General features: G+C 40.2%; 2 protein-coding genes and 1 pseudogene across 44 annotated transcripts in view; 2 read left to right on the forward strand and 1 right to left on the reverse strand.

The window, feature by feature from the left end:
- The window catches only part of ZBED6 (zinc finger BED-type containing 6), a 58,502-nt gene that overhangs the window by 21,112 nt on the left and 17,610 nt on the right, over window positions 1–19,780 (forward strand). The window contains exons 2-9 of the mRNA NM_001395895.1: window positions 192–390; window positions 1,836–1,955; window positions 11,565–11,688; window positions 12,717–12,920; window positions 13,046–13,162; window positions 13,389–13,469; window positions 14,927–15,037; window positions 17,057–17,119. The gene's annotated coding sequence lies outside the window, so the exon portion shown is untranslated. The remainder of the gene's footprint in view (window positions 1–191; window positions 391–1,835; window positions 1,956–11,564; window positions 11,689–12,716; window positions 12,921–13,045; window positions 13,163–13,388; window positions 13,470–14,926; window positions 15,038–17,056; window positions 17,120–19,780) is intronic.
- The window catches only part of ZC3H11A (zinc finger CCCH-type containing 11A), a 58,502-nt gene that overhangs the window by 21,112 nt on the left and 17,610 nt on the right, over window positions 1–19,780 (forward strand). For all 43 annotated transcript variants that reach the window (NM_001319238.2, NM_001376338.1, NM_001376367.1 and 40 more), the window contains 8 exons: window positions 192–390; window positions 1,836–1,955; window positions 11,565–11,688; window positions 12,717–12,920; window positions 13,046–13,162; window positions 13,389–13,469; window positions 14,927–15,037; window positions 17,057–17,119. In NM_001319238.2, the coding sequence (NP_001306167.1) occupies window positions 337–390; window positions 1,836–1,955; window positions 11,565–11,688; window positions 12,717–12,920; window positions 13,046–13,162; window positions 13,389–13,469; window positions 14,927–15,037; window positions 17,057–17,119 (874 nt within the window). In that variant the 5' untranslated portion in view covers window positions 192–336. The remainder of the gene's footprint in view (window positions 1–191; window positions 391–1,835; window positions 1,956–11,564; window positions 11,689–12,716; window positions 12,921–13,045; window positions 13,163–13,388; window positions 13,470–14,926; window positions 15,038–17,056; window positions 17,120–19,780) is intronic.
- On the reverse strand, window positions 18,768–19,249 carry RPL35AP5 (ribosomal protein L35a pseudogene 5; annotated as a pseudogene).

The raw sequence follows: 19,780 nt of genomic DNA on the forward strand, positions 1-19,780 counted from the left end.
CCTTTCTAGTCAAAATTTTACATTGTAGATGGGAATGTACAGTATTCGCAATCAGTGTGTTTACAAGGCTCTGTATAAGCAAGGTCGTATTAATAAAATTTGACTCTAGCAATACGATCTCATTAGCCATGGTGATTTGAAGGAGGAAGAATTTACCTGAAATATTTTAATTCATTGTCTCCTCATTTTAGGATTACAGTTTAAAGACAATTTCTGTGATCAAGTTGTCATTTGGAAGATTAAACCCATTTCACGAGGACTTGGAGCCTGGTCCTTGCTTTGAGGAAGCAGTGGCTTGTTTCAAGAAGCCACTTCTGATCTAAGAATCTACCCAGCATGCCTAATCAAGGAGAAGACTGCTATTTTTTTTTCTATTCCACATGTACCAAAGTAAGAATTGACATCTTTAAATCAGTTCTTTCTACAATTTGCTTAATAGAATTGGATAAGATTTTCCCAACATTTTAAGTTGTTTTTATTATATATATATTTTTTGCCCAACTTTATTATTGGCTGTCAGTTTTTTAAAGGATAATGTATTTAGGGTAATTCAGTGTTTTTTTCTTTTCATTTTATATATAACTAATTTTCCCATCTTGTACAAAAGTGAAAAGGCACGTGGCATGTAGTCATCATTCAGTGTTCAAAATTAATCTGTTCAGGGTGCCTTTGGAAATGGGGCCACTTTGACCTATGCCTTACTAACTTTGATTTTATATACTTCATATTAAATGAGTGAGTGAATAGTTAGTGAATTGTGTTGTACTTCCAGAAACTGTCATGGGTTGAATTTGACTTCTTTCTTCTCCCAGATTTCCTGCTGAGTACTAAGAATATAGAGTCATCATACTAAATATGCTTTTGCAGTTTTTTGGCTTAATCTTTGTCAAAACTTCTGTTTTTCTCCTTGATTCTTTTGCAGCTCTATTTACATATACCTATTGCTTTCTGTGATTTTATGACTAATTCTATAAACGTATATGTTAAAAAAATTTGTTCTTCAGTCATCTTGATTTTTTTTTTATTTTTATTTTTTGAGACGGAGTCTAGTTCTGTCACCCAGGCTGGAGTGCAGTGGTATGGTCTTGGCTTACTGTAACCTCCGCCTCCCAGGTTCAAGCCATTCTCCTGCCTCAGCCTCCCAAGTAGCTGGGATTTCTGGCGCCTGCCACCACACCCAGCTAACTGTATTTTTAGTACAGACAGGGTTTCACGTGTTGGCCAGGCTTGTCTTGAACTCCTGACCTTGTGATCTGCCCGCCTCGGCCTCCCAAAGTGCTGGGATTACAGGCGTGAGCCCCCACGCCCGGTGATATTATGTTTTAAATGATGAGTTTTGAGCAAAGCTGTGATAATTTTATCTTACCTATAGCAGTTTGCACAACAGTAGCGTTTTATTTCAGATATTACCGTTGCATAAAGTATGCAGTGGAGCACAGTTATATTGTATATATGTTAATTATATTTAAATTCTATTTACTTTCTGATTTTCCATCAAAAGCTAGAGTTACACAAGGCGAGATGTCAGTTTTGAAGATGAACTGTAAAATACATTTTTAAAGAGGACCTAACACTCCTACTTGTCTTTTTCAACTCTTTTTTTCAGCTTGTGTCACTCATGCCAGATCAAACGAAGGGTACTGTCAAGAAATAGGTTATAGGAAATAATTTGTTGCTCTCGGTTTGTTCCTGTCATTCCATGTCCATTGTTTTTTACCTTACCAGTCCTTTCTTACTCATTTGTGCTTGTCTAAATTCCAGGAGCTCTTGTTATGGATATTTTACCTAGGATGTATTTCAATGCTACAAATAGAGTGTTCTCTATTTGTTTACAGGGTGACAGCTGCCCATTCCGTCACTGTGAAGCTGCAATAGGAAATGAAACTGTTTGCACATTATGGCAAGAAGGGCGCTGTTTTCGACAGGTGTGCAGGTTTCGGCACATGGAGATTGATGTAAGTTTTTTATTTCCGTTATCATAATAAGTAGTCTGGAGACCTGGTGGGCCAATAAAAAATATAGGGACAAAAGTGACTTTTAAAAAATATATTAAGGCTGAGTGCAGTGGCTCATGCCTGTAGTTCCAGCACTTTGGGAGGCTGAGGCGGGTAGATCATGAGGTCAGGAGATTGAGACCATCCTAGCCAACGTGGTGAAACCCCATCTCTACTAAAAATACAAAAAATTAGCTCAGTGTGGTGGCATGTGCCTGTAATTCCAGCTACTCGGGAGGCTGAGGCAGGAAAATCGCTCGAACCAGGGAGTTGGAGGTTGCAGTGAGCTGAGATCGCACCACTGCACTCCAGCCTGGTGACAGAGCAACACTCCGTCTCAAAAAAAAAAATATATATATATACACACACACACACACACACACACACACACGTGTATATATACATATGTATATGTGTGTATATACACACACGTGTATATATGTGTGTGTATATATATACACAACTTTCCTCTATGCAATTTTTTTTTCTTTCTTTTTATTTTTTTTTTTTTGAAACGGAGTCTCACTCTGTCGCCCACGCTGGAGTGCAGTGGCGCAATCTCTGCTTACTGCAACCTCCACCTCCCAGGTTCAAGCGATTCTCCTGCCTCAGCCTCCTGAGTAGCTGGGATTACAGGCACCTGCCACCATGGCCTGCTAATTTTTGTATTTTTAGTAGAGACGGGGTTTTACCACGCAGGCCAGGCTGGGCTCGAACTCCTGACTTCAGGTGATTTACCCACTTTGGCCTCTGAAAGTGCTGGGATTACATGCGTGAGCCACCGTGCCCAGCTGACTCCAATTTTTTTTTTTTTTTTTTTTTTGAGACAGAGTTTTGCTCTTGTTGCCCAGGCTGGAGTGTAATAGCATGGGCTCAGCTTAGTGCAACCTCCACCTCCCTAGTTCAAGCGGTTCTCCTGCCTCAGCCTCCCGAGTAGCTAGAATTACAGGCATGCACTACCATGCCTGGCTAATTCTGTATTTTTAGTAGAGATGGGGTTTTGCCATGCTGGTCAGGCTGGTCTCGAACTCCTGATCTCTGGTGATCCACTTGCCTCGGCCTCCCAAAGTGCTGGGATTACAGGCATGAGCCACCGCGCCCAGCCGACTCCAGCAATTTTTTTAAAAAGATTAACATTGATATATTACCATCGTTTAATCCTTTGATCTCACTCAAATTTTGCCAGTTTTATTTTAATATCTTTTATTTTAGAAAGAGCAAGTCCAGGCTGGGCTCAGTGGCTCACGCCTGTAATCCCAGCACTTTACTAGGCTGAGGCGGGTGAATCATGAGATCAGGAGTTCGAGACCAGCCTGACCAACATGGTGAAAGCCCATCTCTACTAAAAATATAAAAATTAGTTGGGTGTGGTGGCACGCGTCTGTAATCCCAGCTATTCAGGAGGCTGAAGCAGGAGAATCGCTTGAACCTGGGAGGCGGAGGTTGCACTGAGCTGAGATTGCGCCACTCCATTCTGGCCTGGGTGACAGGGCGAGACTCCATCTCAAGAAAAAAAAAAAAAAAGCCCAAATTCAAGTGTTGCACATAGTTGTCACGACTAGTTTTGTCTCCTTCTGTTGAGAGCAGTTGCTCAGTCCTGCCTTGCGTTTCATTGCCCTTAACACTTATGGTAGCTATAGGGAAATTGTTTTTAAGAATGTTCTTCAATTTGGGTTTGTTTGTATTCCCCCTCATTACTAAATTAAGATTATATAGCTTTAGCAGGAATATCACAAATTATGTGTGTGTGTGTGTATATTTTGAGTTGAGACAGAGTCTCGCGCTGTTACCCAGGCTGGAGTGCAGTGGTGGGATCTCAGCTCACTGCGACCTCTGCCTCCTGAGTTCATGTGATTCTTGTGCCTCAACCTCTCGAGTAGCTGGGACAACGGGCATGCCTCACCACACCCGTCTAATTTTTTGTGTTTTTTAGTAGACACGAGGTTTCGCGATGTTGGCCAGGCTGGTCTCGAATTGTTGGCCTCAAGTTATTCACCTGCCTCAGCCTCCCAGAGTGCTGAGATTACAGGTGTGAGCCACGCCCGGCGAATGGTATTTTTGTTGCATATCATCCCGTGGCACACAGTTTTAATTTTCTCATTACTGGTGATGTTAACTTTGATCACTCAATTAAGATGGTATCTGCCAGATTGCTTCATTATAAAGGCTTTCTTTTTGTAATTAATAAATATTTTGTGGAGAGGTACTTTTAGACCCTTTACCCCGTTTCTCATCAGACTTCAACTTTTTCCCCGTTATTGATGTGAATTAATGCAAACTTGTGGTGATACGTTTGGCTCTGTATCCTCACCTGAATCTCACCTCTATCGTAATCCCCATGTGTTAAGGGAGGGACCTGATGGGAGGTGATTGGATCATGGGGGCGGTTTCCCCCACGCTATTCTCATGATAGTGAGTGCGTTCTCGTGAGATCTGATGGTTTAAAAGTGTGGGACTCCCTTTGCTCGCGCTCTCTTGCTGCCATGTAAGACTTGTTTGTGTCTTGCGTCCTGTTCACCTCCTGCCATAATTATAAGTTTCCTGAAGCCTCCCCAGCCATGCAGAACTGTGAGTTAGTTAAACCTTTTTTTTTTAAATAAATTTCCCAGTCTCAGATAGTTCTTTATAGCAATGTGAAAATGGACTAATACATGTGGTTTTCTATTTTAATCAGTGTGTCGTACTCTGTTACTATCATTACTTTTATGCTCCGATTGACCCAGATTTGGCAAGTAGGAGCCTTTCAAACTGATTTTTGTGTTCTTTTGATGTTTCCATCATTCTTTGAGCATCTCTGCTTTTTGGCCTGACAAGATTTTCCAGGCTCATCCTGTACTTTTCCTACTTCAGCCCTGTATTCGGCCATTTATCCAAGGTGCCCTGGTTTCTTTTAGTGAATAATGGTATATAGAAGTTAAGATTTGGGCTGCTCCTAGAGTGTCATCACTTTCAGGTCCTCTCAGTGGACAGAGCTGAGGAATATATAAATGTATACACTTAACAGACATTTACATCATTATGGTTTTTGGTTTTGTTTTTTTTTTTTTGAGACGGAGTCTTGCTCTATCACCCAGGCTGGAGTGCAGTGGCGCGATCTCCGCTCACTGCAAGCTCCGCCTCATTGGTTCACACCATTCTCCTGTTTCAGTCTCCCGAGTAGCTGGGATTACAGGTGCCCGCCACCACGCCCGGCTAATTTTTTGTACTTTTAGTAGAGATGGGGTTTCACCGTGTTAGCCAGGATGGTCTCGATCTGCTGACCTCGTGATCCGCCCGCCTTGGCCTCCCAAAGTCCTGGGATTACAGGTGTGAGCCACCGTGCCTGGCCCTATGTATTTAATAATAGATACATAGTATTACAAATTATGAGTTCATATAGATGCTTCCAGTTCATCAATGCCACAGGACTTAGTCTAGACTTCTCCTTTTCCATACCTGTAACTCTTCTCCAGAAGTGAGAAACTTGGTTTTCATTGTTCATAATACTTTTATTTATTTGATCAGTCTACTAGTATAAAAACCAATATTGTGTCACAGCTTTTTCCTTCCTCTCAGGCTCTGACATGACACACACAGCTTCTCCACAAGGACACCTTTCTCACCATGTTTCAACTCTAGTACTCTGTGCTAAGCCTCCCTGCTTGCTTTACCATAGGGACCTCTTTCTCACCCTGCTTGGACCCCAACATCCTACTTTTGACCCCCAACACGATCCCTATAATGGATACTGTTTTCACACCTTTGGGCTGTGATACTTTGTGCTGAGCGGCCCTCACATGTGAGATGCTGTCCTGACCCTGCGCACATACTCCAACTCTGTACCAGGTTCCCTTGGGAATACCCTGCCTTCCTAACCCCACTTGGTCTTTGATGCCATTCTAGACTGACCCTACATGAGTATATATTCTTCATCCTACATTGTGATCTCTTCTGCACAGAGACATTGCTAACCCTGCTCAGGCTCAACACTTGTCAGGGTACCCTTTCATGCACATGTCCTCTTAACCCTCCAACCCTCCGTGGGTTCCAACACCCTATGCCAGTTCCACATGGTCATGTGGATACCTTCCTATTCTCAGTCAGACTCCAATACCCTGCTCTGGGCCACCATGTCCTTCCCTTCTCCCATCTGAATGCCTGTCTCCCTCAACCCCATCTAATGACTTTGGACTGAATTGTTAGAGTGAGACTAAATATGCAGTTCATGTGCCTGGGGTCAGCTACTCCAGTCTGGTTTTGTATTTCTTGTCTCTTAACTACATTCTAAGCTACCTATCTTGCAAATAGCAGCAGATATCAAATAAATTGATAAAGGAGTACTCTGCAACTTTTATATTTTATGTTATAACATGAAAAGTCAATGTTGTAACATTTTTAGTGGAGTGTATATTGGCACAGCTCCTATGGAGGGTATGGCAGTGTCTCCAGGAGCATCTCTTCATTTAGAGATTCTCTAGGATGTATTCAGAGTTGAGATTTATTGCAGCAATAGAGTAAAGACACTGTCAGATCATAAGAGAAAAAGACACTGGAGGAATCTGGAAGAATCCGTGTGCCTGTTTTTTTATGCCCACTCCCTTTAGGGGTGACACAGAGCACACTCTTTTCCTAGTCATGAAAATGCAGCAATGCATGTGTGGTATTCCTGCCCAGGGAAATCCATTAGAGACTCAGCATCCAGGATTTTCATTGGTGCTAGCCATATAAGCACTCTTTACCAAACATGTACCCAAATTCCAGACTCCCAGAAGGAAGGCAGATGTTCAGCATTAACCATATTGTTTGTACAAACAGTCTAGGCATACTGAGCCTTCTCCCTTCCCCACTTACCAATTAACTTGGAGCGTCTAAAAGCCAAGGTCCCAGATGCTAGCCAAGAGCAAGCCTTGCAAGCAGGCATTTCTAAGGACAGTAGTCTAAGAGCTGCTATGCTAACTCTTTTCTGCACTGAGGCTTATTGGCTGTATTGCTTGAAAGAACTAAATACTTATACTTTTTACACATAGGTATTTACCTGCAAAATAAGATGTGTGCAGAATTGCTTATTGTAGCAATTTGTAATAGTAAAATACTGGAAATAACCTAACTATCCTTCATTTAAAATAAGGTTTTACTACATTCATACTGTAGAGTGCCAGGTAGCTGTTAACAAAAAATTTTAAAGGGGAAACTAATTTATTGATACGGAAATAATCAGGATATATTGTCAAGTGAAAAACCTAAGGTGAAGAGCAAGGTGGGTTAAAAAAGGAGAGGGAAGCCGGGCGCCGTGGCTCATGCCTGTAATCTCAGCACTTTGGGAGGCTGAGGCGGCTGGATCACCTGAGGTCAGGAGTTTGAGACCAGCTGGCCAACACAGTGAAACCCCGTCTCTACTCAAATTACAAAAATTAGTCGGGCGTGGTGACGCAGCCATGTAGTCCCAGCTACTCAGGAGGTTGAGGCAGGAGAATCGCTTGAACCTGGGAGGTGGAGATTGCAGTGAGCCGAGATTACACCACTGTACTCCAGCCTGGGCTACACAGTAAGACTCCCATCTCAAAATTAAAAAAAAAAAAAAAAGAGGGAAAATAATTTATATTTGTTTTTCACTTGCATATGAATTTTAAAAATCTCTGGAAGTATAAAGGTGAAACTTAACAACAGTGGCTATGGGAAGGTGTCAGGGATGAGAAGGAGTCTTTTTATCATGTACCCCTTCTGTGTGCAATTCATTTTCATTATTCATTGGTTCCATATTTGCGAATTTGCCTACTTGCTAAAATTTATAACCCCCAAATCAGTACTTGGCCATTCGTAGGCATGTTCAGAGCAGCAAAAAATTTGAGTCATCTGACATGTGTCACATTGGTTCACAAATTGAGTCACATTTCCAGGTGAGGCGGAACAGAGCTCTGCCTCCTTCTGATACTGTAAACAAGTGTCCTTTTCATGATGTATTTGGTTCCACGGCTTTTGGTTGGTGGTGGTGCTGCTTAAAATGGCTCCTAGGCCTATTGCTCAAGTGCTTTGTAGTGTTGCTGAGTAGAAGAAAGCTGTGATGTGTCTTATAGAGAAAATAGATTGTTAGGCCGGACACGGTGGCTCACGCCTGTAATCCCAGCACTTTGGGAGGCTGAGGCAGGCAGATCATCTCAGGAGTTTGAGACCAGCCTGGACAACATGGTGAAACCCTGTCTCTACTAAAAATACAAAAAAATTAGCCGGGCATGGTGACACGTGCCTATAATCCCAGCTACTCGGGAGGCTGAGGCAGGAGAATTGCTTGAACCCTGGAGGTGGAGGTTTCAGTGAGACAAGATTGTGCCACTGCACTCCAACCTGGGCAACAGAGCGAGACTCCGTCTCAAAAAAAAAAAAAAAAAAAGAAAATAGATGTTAGATAAGCTTTGTTCAAGTGTGAGTTACAGTGCTATTTGTCTTGCGTTTCATATTAATGAATGAACAATATTAAATGCACCCAAAACAAAGTTATGTATTGATTAGTTGATGAAAATGTGACCAGAGGCCCACAGGAACCCAACTCTATTTCCCTTAGGAATAATGGTTTAGTATTTACTAATTCAGTGTTCCAAGTGACTTTATAGAACATAACTACTGCAAATAATGAGAATCAACTGTTTTATCTTTGGATCATGTGCTGTATTACTGTTAAAAATGTGAAGACATAATTATGTAGGAGAAATATTACTGTGGAGGATTTTTTTTTTTTTTTTTTTTTTTTGAGGTGGAGTCTCACTCTGTCACCCAGGCTGGAGTGCAGTGGCTCCATCTTGGCTCACTGAAACTTCCACCTCCCGGGTTCAAGTGATTCTCCTGTCTCAGCCTCCCGCATAGCTGGGACTACAGGCGCCCTCCACCATGCCCAGCTAATTTTTGTATTTTTTAGTAGAGACGGGGTTTCACCATATTGGTCAGGCTCCTGACCTCAGGTGATCAACCCACCTTGGCCTCCCAAAGTGTTGAGATTACAGGCGTGAGCCACCACGCCTGGCATGTGGAGGATATTACTAAGGAAAAATGTACAGAATTACATGGAATACCTTTCTTTTTAGTATGCATATAGTCACTTGTGATTTTTTTTTTACAAGTAAAAACTCATACCAAAATAAGTGATTCTCTGGGTAATAGCATAATTGGCATTTATTTCCATTTTCCAAGTTGTCTTCGTTGCACATATATTACTTTTCAATTAGAAACAAAATCTAGCAAATGTATTAAACAGATCAAATAAATGTCATGTGACTTCTGTGTATAGAAGATACTGTTACAGAAGTCATTCAGTAATTTGAAAATTGCTTCCAGGAAAGATGTAAAATTTAAGCAAAGGTAGGCTTAGGAACAAGGAAGATTGGCATTAGGTTCTGCCTTGAGAAAGGAAGAATTGAATAATTGTTATTCCTGTCTAAAAAACAGTGGTAGCTATTACATCTACCTTTCGGGTGTGACAGAGGACTAATAAATTCTTCCTAGTTCTTTGAAAGTAACGGTATTTGCTGTACTTTTATTTTTACTTTATTTTTACTGCTCCTTGTGGAGCAGGGCCACTCTATAGGTAGTGTGCCCACAGTAGCCTATACTTTTAAAAAATATTATACTTTTAGAAAATATCAATAATATTAAAATTAATAAATAAATATTGATTAATAATAATTAATTCTTTTTAAAAATTATACTTTAAAAATATTAATAGGTAATTATGCATATGACATAAACTTAGAACATAGTTTTAAAAAACTGATTTTGCCAAATCACCTTTCAGAGATGTGGAGCAAATTTACATTTCCATTATGTGTTTGAGACTGCCTGATTCTTCCACGTCCCTGAAAACAGTGTATAATTGAATTTTATCACTCTCTCAATATAGTAGATTTTGACCTTTGCCCTTTTTGATACATTTAAGCATCTTTTTGTAATGGTTATTGTTTCTCTGTCTCTCTTCTCCATATTCTTAAATTTCAATGCTGGTGTTTTTTCCTGGAATTTTAAACCATAGGCTGTTTATGATGATTAGAGATTCGACATAATGCAGTTCATCGGAGGTTAGTTAGTTTTTGGGAGTACTTCTCATATCTTTTTTCCCCCTTTTTTGAACTATTAAAATGTATCTAGAAAAGTGCAAAATCGTAATCTTACAACTTGAAGAATTTTCATAGAGTGATTATACTTACTTGATCAGCACCTAGTTCAAGAAATAGAGTATTAGCAGTAATCTATCTTCCCCTTCATCCCCTTGTTACTAACCACATCCCCAAAGCTGATCAGCATCCCAACTACTCTACCATGGAGAAGTTTTGACTGTTTTCATCTTTTCATAAATGGAATGGTATAGTATGCACTCTTGTGTCTGGCTTCTTTCATTTCACATCTGTGGCATTGAGTATAGCAATGGTTTATTCCTTCTCATTACTAGATGATATTCTGTTGTACGAATACTTTACAGTTTCTTTATCCATTCTAGTATTGATGTACACATGGGTTTGCAAAATTATAGAGCTATTGAAAATAATATTGCTGTGAACATTGCTTATACACAGCTGTTGGAGAACTAATGTATATATTTTTCTAGGACATACATCCTATGATTCAGCAGTTTATTCTATTCTAGATGCACAGGTATTCTTTTTTTTTTTTTTTCTCCCAATTTTCCTTTATAAAAGTAAGGTGACTGGCCGGGTGCGGTGGCTCACACCTGTAATCCCAGCACTTTGGGAGGCTGAGGCGGGCGGATCACGAGGTCAGGAGATCAAGACCATCCTGGCTAACATGGTAAAACCTCTTATCTACTAAAAATACAAAAAAAATTAGCCGAGTGTGGTGGCAGGCACCTGTAGTCCCAGCTACTCTGGAGGCTGAGGCAGGAGAATGGCGTGAACCCGGGAGGCGGAGCTTGCAGTGAGCGGAGATCGCGCCACTGCACTCCAGCCTGGGTGACAGAGCAAGACTCTGTCTCAAAAAAAAAAAAAAAGTAAGGTGACTTGGGAAGGATACCTAACATCCTTAGTGTGTTGTTATAGGTGCCTTACTTTGAGAATTCATGAATGGGAAGAATTTTCTCAAACCCTTGAACTCTCAGCTTCAAGTAATAACTGCAGTTTATTGAGTTTGACCTATGTGCTTAGTGCTTTATATACATTATTTTATGTACTCTTCATAAGAAACCATTTATTCCCGTTTTATAGCTAAGGAAAGTGAGGCTTAGAGGCATGAATTATCCAAGGCCACCTGGCCAATAAGTAACATAATAGAGATTCAGACCGTTATCTTTGATTTCATAAACTTAAACTACTGTATCATCCTGCTTCTCTAAATTAAGTGTAGACATTTTAGGGGTTCCAGGATGAGGGTAAAAAGGGAAAGAATAACATAAACTACTCTCCTGCTCCATTCAGCTCTCCATCATGCCTAAGTTATGTTATTTTCAGCAATCTCTCTTCCTTCTAAAAATCATCTCATCTCACATGCCTCGGATTTTTGAACCCTGTATGAACTTTGTCTAGAAAACAAACTGCCACATGAATATACGTATCACTGTTTTATTTGAAAGCAATGTGTTTTTCCCTCTTACAGAAAAAACGCAGTGAAATTCCTTGTTATTGGGAAAATCAGCCAACAGGATGTCAAAAATTAAACTGCGCTTTCCATCACAATAGAGGACGATATGTTGATGGCCTTTTCCTACCTCCGAGCAAAAGTGAGATCAGTTTTTAATTTTAAAAGAATATCAAATGAACACCTATTATGCACACTGTACAACAGTACTTTTCAGACATTGACTCCTTTCAGTCTTGTGAAACAGCAGAATTATTTCCACTTTACAGATAAGTGAACTGAATCTTATTAAGGTTAAATGATTTATCCTTGGCCTTAGAACCATTATATATCTTGGCATGCCATTTAAGTTATTATACTTACTTCATTTCTCATATTCTTATCAGACCCATAAACGTTTTCAAAATAAATTTGATTTTCTAGGTCAAAGGTTGGCAAAACTGGTCCTCTGCCTGTTTTGTAAAATAAGTTTTATTGGAATATAGCCTTGCCCATTCATTTACATATTTTCTATTATCAGTTTTGTGCTAGTGCTATAGAATTGAGTAGTTGAGACAGAAACCATATGGCCCACAAAGCCTAAATTATTAACTGGCTCTTTACAGAAAATATTTGCCAACCCTACTCTAGACTATAATCTAAAATAAAACTAAAAAGCTAGTGGTTATTCCCAAAGTTCATTTTAAAGTAATTTAAAAGTGGAATTGGCCATTTAAAAGCCACAGTTGCTACGTGATTAAAATTTGATGGCTACATCTTTTTACCTCAATTTAAGGGAAAAAAGTAGACTTATTCCTTTCTGGTTTGGTTCAAGTAAGTGTCATATGCTTGGGTCTTAGAAGCTACTTCTTTGCTGAGCAAAAAGCCTAGAATTGCAGTATTAAAATTAAAGGTCTAGAATTTGTGAACAGGTACTATGCTTCTTCTAGTCTTCTGTTGATTCTGTTTTGAGTGCCCACTTTGTGTTTATGTACAGTGGAGAGTTAGTGGAGAGTTAATTAGGTAAAAGCACATCTTTTCCCTCCCTGGGACTTTAGAACTTAAATGAGGAAATTTAGTATAAATGCTCATAAGACAAATACACTATAGTTTTCATAGGTGGTCAGGAATTTTTGGTAAGTTGGGGTTGTATCTTCTGTTTTTAATTTATGACTGATTTTGTGCGTTTAGCTGTGTTGCCCACTGTGCCTGAGTCACCAGAAGAGGAAGTGAAGGCTAGCCAACTTTCAGTTCAGCAGAACAAATTGTCTGTCCAGTCCAATCCTTCCCCTCAGCTGCGGAGCGTTATGAAAGTAGAAAGTTCCGAAAATGTTCCTAGCCCCACGCATCCACCAGTTGTAATTAATGCTGCAGATGATGATGAAGATGATGATGGTAAGTTCTGTCTGGCTCCTTCTTTAAGGCAAATAAATAGGGTCTCATAGTGAATTGGGCAGAATCAGGATTAAAGCTATAGGCGTATTTTTAATTGTGAATTTGCCTTAAATGTTGATATATAGATCAGTTTTCTGAGGAAGGTGATGAAACCAAAACACCTACCCTGCAACCAACTCCTGAAGTTCACAATGGATTACGAGTGACTTCTGTCCGGAAACCTGCAGTCAATATAAAGCAAGGTAAGAAGAGGCTAGATTGGTGCCTCTTATAGCACTGTTGAAACTACCTTTGAAATTTAGTTCACAATCATTGACCTCCCTCTTCTTTTTCCCATGCTACACGCATACTTACCTATACTTAGTTTCTGTTGATCATTTATTCAAAAATAAATGCCTGCTATGTACAGATAAAATACAAAGATGAAAAGGCTCCCGTTCCTCATAAAATTTCTATTTGAATTTTCAGGTGAATGTTTGAATTTTGGAATAAAAACTCTTGAGGAAATTAAGTCAAAGAAAATGAAGGAAAAATCTAAGAAGCAAGGTGGTAAGTCATCACGTTTTGGCATGGATAGTTGTATGTTGCTAGGGAAGAATACTAAGGACGCTTCTAGAAGCAACAGCCAAAATGAGCAAATAGATTTTCATTTCCATGGCCTGTTTGAAGTAAAACACAGACTTATTTAAATTGTGGTTGCTTTTAATTCACTGCAGCTGTGTTTCAGTCCCTAACTTTTCAGAGCTGGGTACAATAAAGAATCTGAAAGAACTTGTATATCTTGAAAAATATAGCTCTGAAGAACATCATATAAGAACTATATTAATTCTGTAAGTTCTTATAGTGGTTAAAAAGAAATTATATTAAGAGAGGAAAGGCTGGGCGTGGTGGCTCACGCCTGTAATCCCAGCACTTTGGGAGGCCGAGGAGGGCGAATCATGAGGTTGGGAGATCCAGACCATCCTGGCCAACATGGTGAAACCCCGTCTCTACTAAAACAAAAAATTAGCCAGGCGGGGTGGCATGCACCTGTAGTCCCAGCTACTCGGGAGGCTGAGGCATGAGAATTGCTTGAACCCAGGAGGCAGAGGTTGCAGTGAGCTGAGATCGCACCATTGTATTCCAGCCTGGCGACAGATCAAGACTCTGTCTCAAAAAAGAAAAAAAAGGAAAAACGTCATTTTCTAGTAGAAGAGTTCTTCCTCAAGAGCTGCTAGGATTTTCTTCTGGAGCTTACGTCAGCCTGATTGCTCTGTATTTCCAACCCCCAATTTTTTTTTTTTTTTTTTTTTTTTTTTTTTTTTTTTTTGAGACAGAGTTTTGCTTTTGTTGCCAGGCTGGAGTGCAATGGCGCAATCTTTGCTCACCACAACCTCCACCTCCCAGTTCAAGCTATTCTGCTGCCTCAGCCTCCTGAGTAGCTGGGATTACAGGCATGCGCCACCACGCCTGGGTAATTTTGTATTTTTGGTAAAGACAGGGTTTCTCCATGTTGGTTGGGCTGGTCTCGAACTCCCAACCTCAGGTAATCCACTGCGCCCAGCCCCCAGCCTTAAAATTTATAGTGTGAAGTGTAGTATATATAGAGAGAAATGGTTCTAAAAACCTTCTTTTAAGGCTTGCTTTATAGCAACCTTGGAGTTGTGTTTTCAGATGATTAAATAGAATAGGTTGGATTGATACACCTGATGGCTAGTGTACCTCTGAGGTTAATTTTAGAATAATACTAGCTTTATTGGTAAATATTAGCCTTATTGGTAAATAAAAGTAGTTTGGGTGCCTAAGTCACTCAAAATAATTTTATATTTTGTTTTCACATCATGCCCAAGGCTCCCCTCACCACTACTCCATTTGACTGTAGGCAAACAGATACAGAAAGGCTGATTGGCTTATAGTCATAATATCAGTCTGTATTGGACTTAACTGGTTACAAAAACAAATTTTTTGACTTGGGATAGCATTATTTTCCATAAATTATTTGCTGTTCTTTGACTTGCCTTATTCAGAGGGTTCTTCAGGAGTTTCCAGTCTTTTACTCCACCCTGAGCCCGTTCCAGGTCCTGAAAAAGAAAATGTCAGGACTGTGGTGAGGACAGTAACTCTCTCCACCAAACAAGGTAAGGTATAGATAGGTCTTAGAGTTGTCAAGCCTCTACTTTTATATAATTGGGAATGCAAAATCCTTGGGTATCTTTTACCTTTGATGAATTTTCAGGAATTTGTTAGTATGCTGATGAGATAATCTAAAGATGAAAAGTTGGTACATTCAACTCTAATATTTAAAAGGTTGAAATTCTTTGTCAAGCAGCCCTCACATATATTTTTCCATTTACTGTTTATATCCACTCAATACATTTATTGGCTTCCCATGTGACTAAAGAATAATAGGTATATATAATAAAGTTTTTTATTTATTTCTTTGAGACAGAGTTGCACTCCTGTTGCCTAGGCTGGAGTGCAATGGCATGATCTCAGCTCACCGCAGCCTCCGTCTTCTGGGTTCAAGCAATTTTCGTGTCTCGGCCTCCCAAGTAGTTGGGATTATAGGCATGTGCCACCAAGCCCGGCTGATTTTTTTGTATTTTTAGTAGAGACGGGGTTTCTCCATGTTGGTCTGGCTGGTCTCAAACTCCCGACCTCAGGTGATCCGCCCGCCTTGGCCTCCCGAAGTGCTGGGATTACAGGTGTGAGCCACCGTTCTTGGCCATTAATTTTTTTTTTTTTTAGATGGAGTCTTGCTCTGTCGCCCAGGCTAAAGTGCAATGGTGCGATCTCCACTCACTGCAACCTCCGCCTCCCAGGTTCAAGTGATTCTCCTGCTTCAGCCTCCCCAGTAGCTGGGATTATAGGCACCCGCCACCACGCCTGGCTAATTTTTGTATTTTTGGTAGAAACGGGGTTTCACCATGTTGGCCACACTGGTCTTGAACTGCTGGCCTCAAATCATCTGCCTGCCTCAGCCTCCCAAATTGCTGGGATTATAGGTGTTAGCCACCACACCCGGCCTGTAACGAAGTATTTTCACTTAATAATTTTAAGCCTAATAAGGAATTATAGATATAGATATATTTAAATGTTTGTGCAATTCAAACAACAAAGAATTAGAAGAAAGAGAGCTCACTTCTTCCTGAGGTGATCAGAGATAGTTATATTGGACAGTTAACATCGGAGTAGAGTACAGTTTCATTCAACATATCAAAGTGCATAAGCAAAAGGATAGTTTCAGCTTTATAACCAATTGGTTAAGAATACAATCTGTCTTATACTCGACTGCTATTAATAATTAGTACTATTCTAGGCTGTGCGCAGTGGCTTACATGTATAATCCCAGCACTTTGGGAGGCTGAGGCGGGCGGATCGCTTGAGGCCAGGAGTTCAAGACCAGCCTGGCCAACATGGTGAAACCCTGTCTCTACTAAAAATACAAAAATTAGGCTGGGTGTGGTGGCTCACGCCTGTAATCCCGGCACTTTGGGAGGCCGAGGCGGGCAGATCACAAGGTCAGAAATTCGAGACCAGCCCGACCAACGCGGTGAAACCTTGTCTCTACTAAAAATACAAAATTTAGCTGGGCATGGTGGTGCACGCCTGTAATCCCAGCTACTCAGGCTGAGGCAGGAGAATCGCTTGAACCCGGGAGGTGGAGGTTGCAGTGAGCCGAGATCGGGCCACTGCACTCTAGCCTGGGCGACAGAGTGAGACTCTGTCTCAAAAAAAAAAAAAAAAAAAACACCAGGTGTGGTAGTGTGCGCAGTAGTCCCAGCTACTTGGGAGGCTGAGACAGGAGAATTGCTTGAACCCAGGAGGTGGAAGTTGCAATGAGCCAAGATGGCACCACTGCACTCCAGCCTGAGTGACAGAGCAAGAGTCTATTATTATTATCAAAATAATAATAATAATTAGTACTATGCTATTGCTTCTGTTTAGGCTGTATGTTTGGCTGTTTATTATTAATAGGTTTGGGTTTTTTTTTTTTTTTTTTGATATAATGGCCTTCCTTAAGACTGAGACCTGATTTTCAAGAGACTTTCTGGGTGGATTTACACTAATATCAGAACATACTTTGTACCCATTAGTAGTTACTGAATACAGAAAAATTGACTAAGGATAGAGAAATTCTGCTTTTGCCATTTCAGGAGAAGAACCCTTGGTTAGATTGAGTCTTACTGAGAGACTGGGGAAACGAAAATTTTCAGCAGGTAAGATAAGTTTTGTGTATATCTTTTCTTTTCTACTTGTTTGTGCATTAACATGATAGCTTCTCCAAACTCTTTTTATACAGATCTTTGTTATTGGTGCCCCTGTATTGGCTGAAAGCACTTATAAATTCCTCATGTTTTCATGAGTGCATTATACCTTTTATTGAAGATACAGAGATTTAAAGTGTTACAATTGAACTAGATTATGACCATGACCAGCGTTTTGGAAGGAACTAGATTTTAAAAATGGTAAAGAACACCTCTATTTCTCTGAACAAATTTAAATGTGAGTTTTTAGAGGCGAGAAAAATGATTGGTTAATATAATGTGTGTCTCTTAGAATACAGGAATCCCTAAGAAGAAAGAAGAAAGTATGTATATATAAAATTTGAGTCCTTGAGTCTATTGGTGCTTGCTTATTTATTTATTTATTTAGAGACAAGAGTCTTGTTTTGTTACCCAGGCTGGAGTGCAGTGGTGCAATCTCAGCTCACTGCAACCTCCACCTCCTGGACTCAAGTGATCCTCCTGCCCCAGCCTCTCAAGTAACTGGGACCATAGGCCTACACCACCATACCTGGCTAATTTTTGTATTTTTTATAGTGATAGGGTTTCACCATGTTGCCCAGGCTGGTCTCCAACTCCTGGGCTCAAGTGATCTGTCGGCCTTGGCCTCCCAAAGTACTGCAATTACAGGCATGAGATACCATGCTTGGCTGCTATTTTATTTTTGGGGGAGTACTTTACCATATTAGTAAATTGTTGTATAACTACCCTAACGTGTCTGACTCCAAAAAATTATTATTATCATTTGAAACGAGAGTCTTGCTCTGTCGCCCACGCTGGCGTGCACTGGCACAATCTCAGCTCACTGCAACCTCCACCTCCTGGGTTCAAGTGATTCTCCTGCCTCAGCCTCTCAAGTAGCTGGGATTACAGGCACTACCCCTGGCTAATTTTTGTATTTTTAGTAGAGATGGGGTTTCCACCATGTTGGCCAGGCTGGTCTCGAACTCCTGCCCTCAGGTGATCCACCCGCCTCTGCCTCCCAAAGTGCTGGGATTATAGGCATGAGCCACTGCTCTGGCCTTCAAAAAATTATTTTGAAAATTTTTTCTGACTTCAGAATTTTCTTCATACTGTTTTAAATGTCCTAAAAAGGAAACCTTATCTATCTCTATTTTGTGTTGTCTTTGATGCAGTTCTCACTACCCTATCTTCAGAACCGTTCTGAACTTAGTCACATTTCAAAGTTTCAGACAGTGAGAGATGGGAATGTATTGTTGAATCAGTTATGCACTTTACGCTCTAAGTAATAAAAAACTTTCAGCGATGAGATAATGCCCATGAATGAAATTAATATTTGCTGTGGCTTTGCTGTATATCAAAGAACATTATGTAAATTCTCATCGAATCCTTGGCAACCATGAGTAAACCATGCACAATGCTTGGCACTTGATATCAGTAAATATTTTCTGCACTGAGCTCAAACTCAGGAAGGGTTAAATAACTTGCCTAAGGTTATAGTCAGATGAATACATTACACGTTATACAGTCATTTACGAAAAAAGCTTAGAAGAGACAGAAATGAGGCAGTCTTTAGAAATCTCTTCTAGCTGTAAATCAAGAAACAATAACAGTTCTAGATTTTAAGAGCAGTATTTTATTTTTGTTTATTTATTTATTTACAATAGCGCAAATCCACTTTTACTGACTTTTCATTAGCTTAAACCCTTGTGGTGTACAGCGTCACTCAGATTCTGTGTCCAATAGCATTAGCAGGAAGATTGCTTTGGAATTTGGCATGAACCACACCACTGTTTCCATGGGCTTGAGTTACCTTTCCCCAGATGACTCTGGTTTTGTTTGGTTTGCCACCAGGAGTCACTGTGTTGTCCTTTGCTTTGTATACATAAGCACATCTCTTGCCCAAATAGAATTTTGTTTCATCTGGGGCATAAACACCTTCAATTTTAAGAAAAGCTATGTGCTCCCTTTTTTTCCGGAGACCCCACTTATAGCCAGCAAAAATGCCCTTGGACCACAGCCTTCCAGACATACTTCCTTTAAGAAGTCCTGTTCCCAGGAGGCCTCCACAGGATCCAAGATGGTGGGGAGAGCTAAGAGCAGTATTTTAATATCTCAGCATGTATTTAGAGTACAAACCAAACCAGGGTTCCAAATTAATAGGACTTTCAGCTTGGATAAAGCTGATCTAGAAATTTTAGGTAGAAAAAAATAATACTAAGCCAGGTATGGTGGTGCATGCCTGTCATCCCAGCTGCGTGGGCAGCTGAGGTTAGAGGATCCCTTGAGTCCAGGAGTTTGAGTCCAGTCTGGGCAACATAGCAAGACCCTGTCTCTAAAAATAATAATTAAAAGTTCTTAAAATATAGAAATGAGCTGTTTTAACATCAGCATACCTGTAAACTTTGTGATGGTTTTATATTTAAATTATAAATGAGGGGAGAGAAACAATCATACTCTGTGTAGGGTCTTTTGAAGCTTTGATACCTTGCAAACAATGTAACTTCAGTCAAGTAATCTAAAAAACCGTTTTTAAAAACTGGTGACTTTTAAACAACTTGTATTGAACAGTGTAATAAAACTAGAAGGCTGGGCGCGGTAGCTTACGCCTGTAATCCCAGCACTTTGAGAGGC

Source organism: Homo sapiens, chromosome 1, assembly GCF_000001405.40.
Source record: "Homo sapiens chromosome 1, GRCh38.p14 Primary Assembly".
In the NCBI taxonomy this organism is placed as follows: domain Eukaryota; kingdom Metazoa; phylum Chordata; class Mammalia; order Primates; family Hominidae; genus Homo; species Homo sapiens.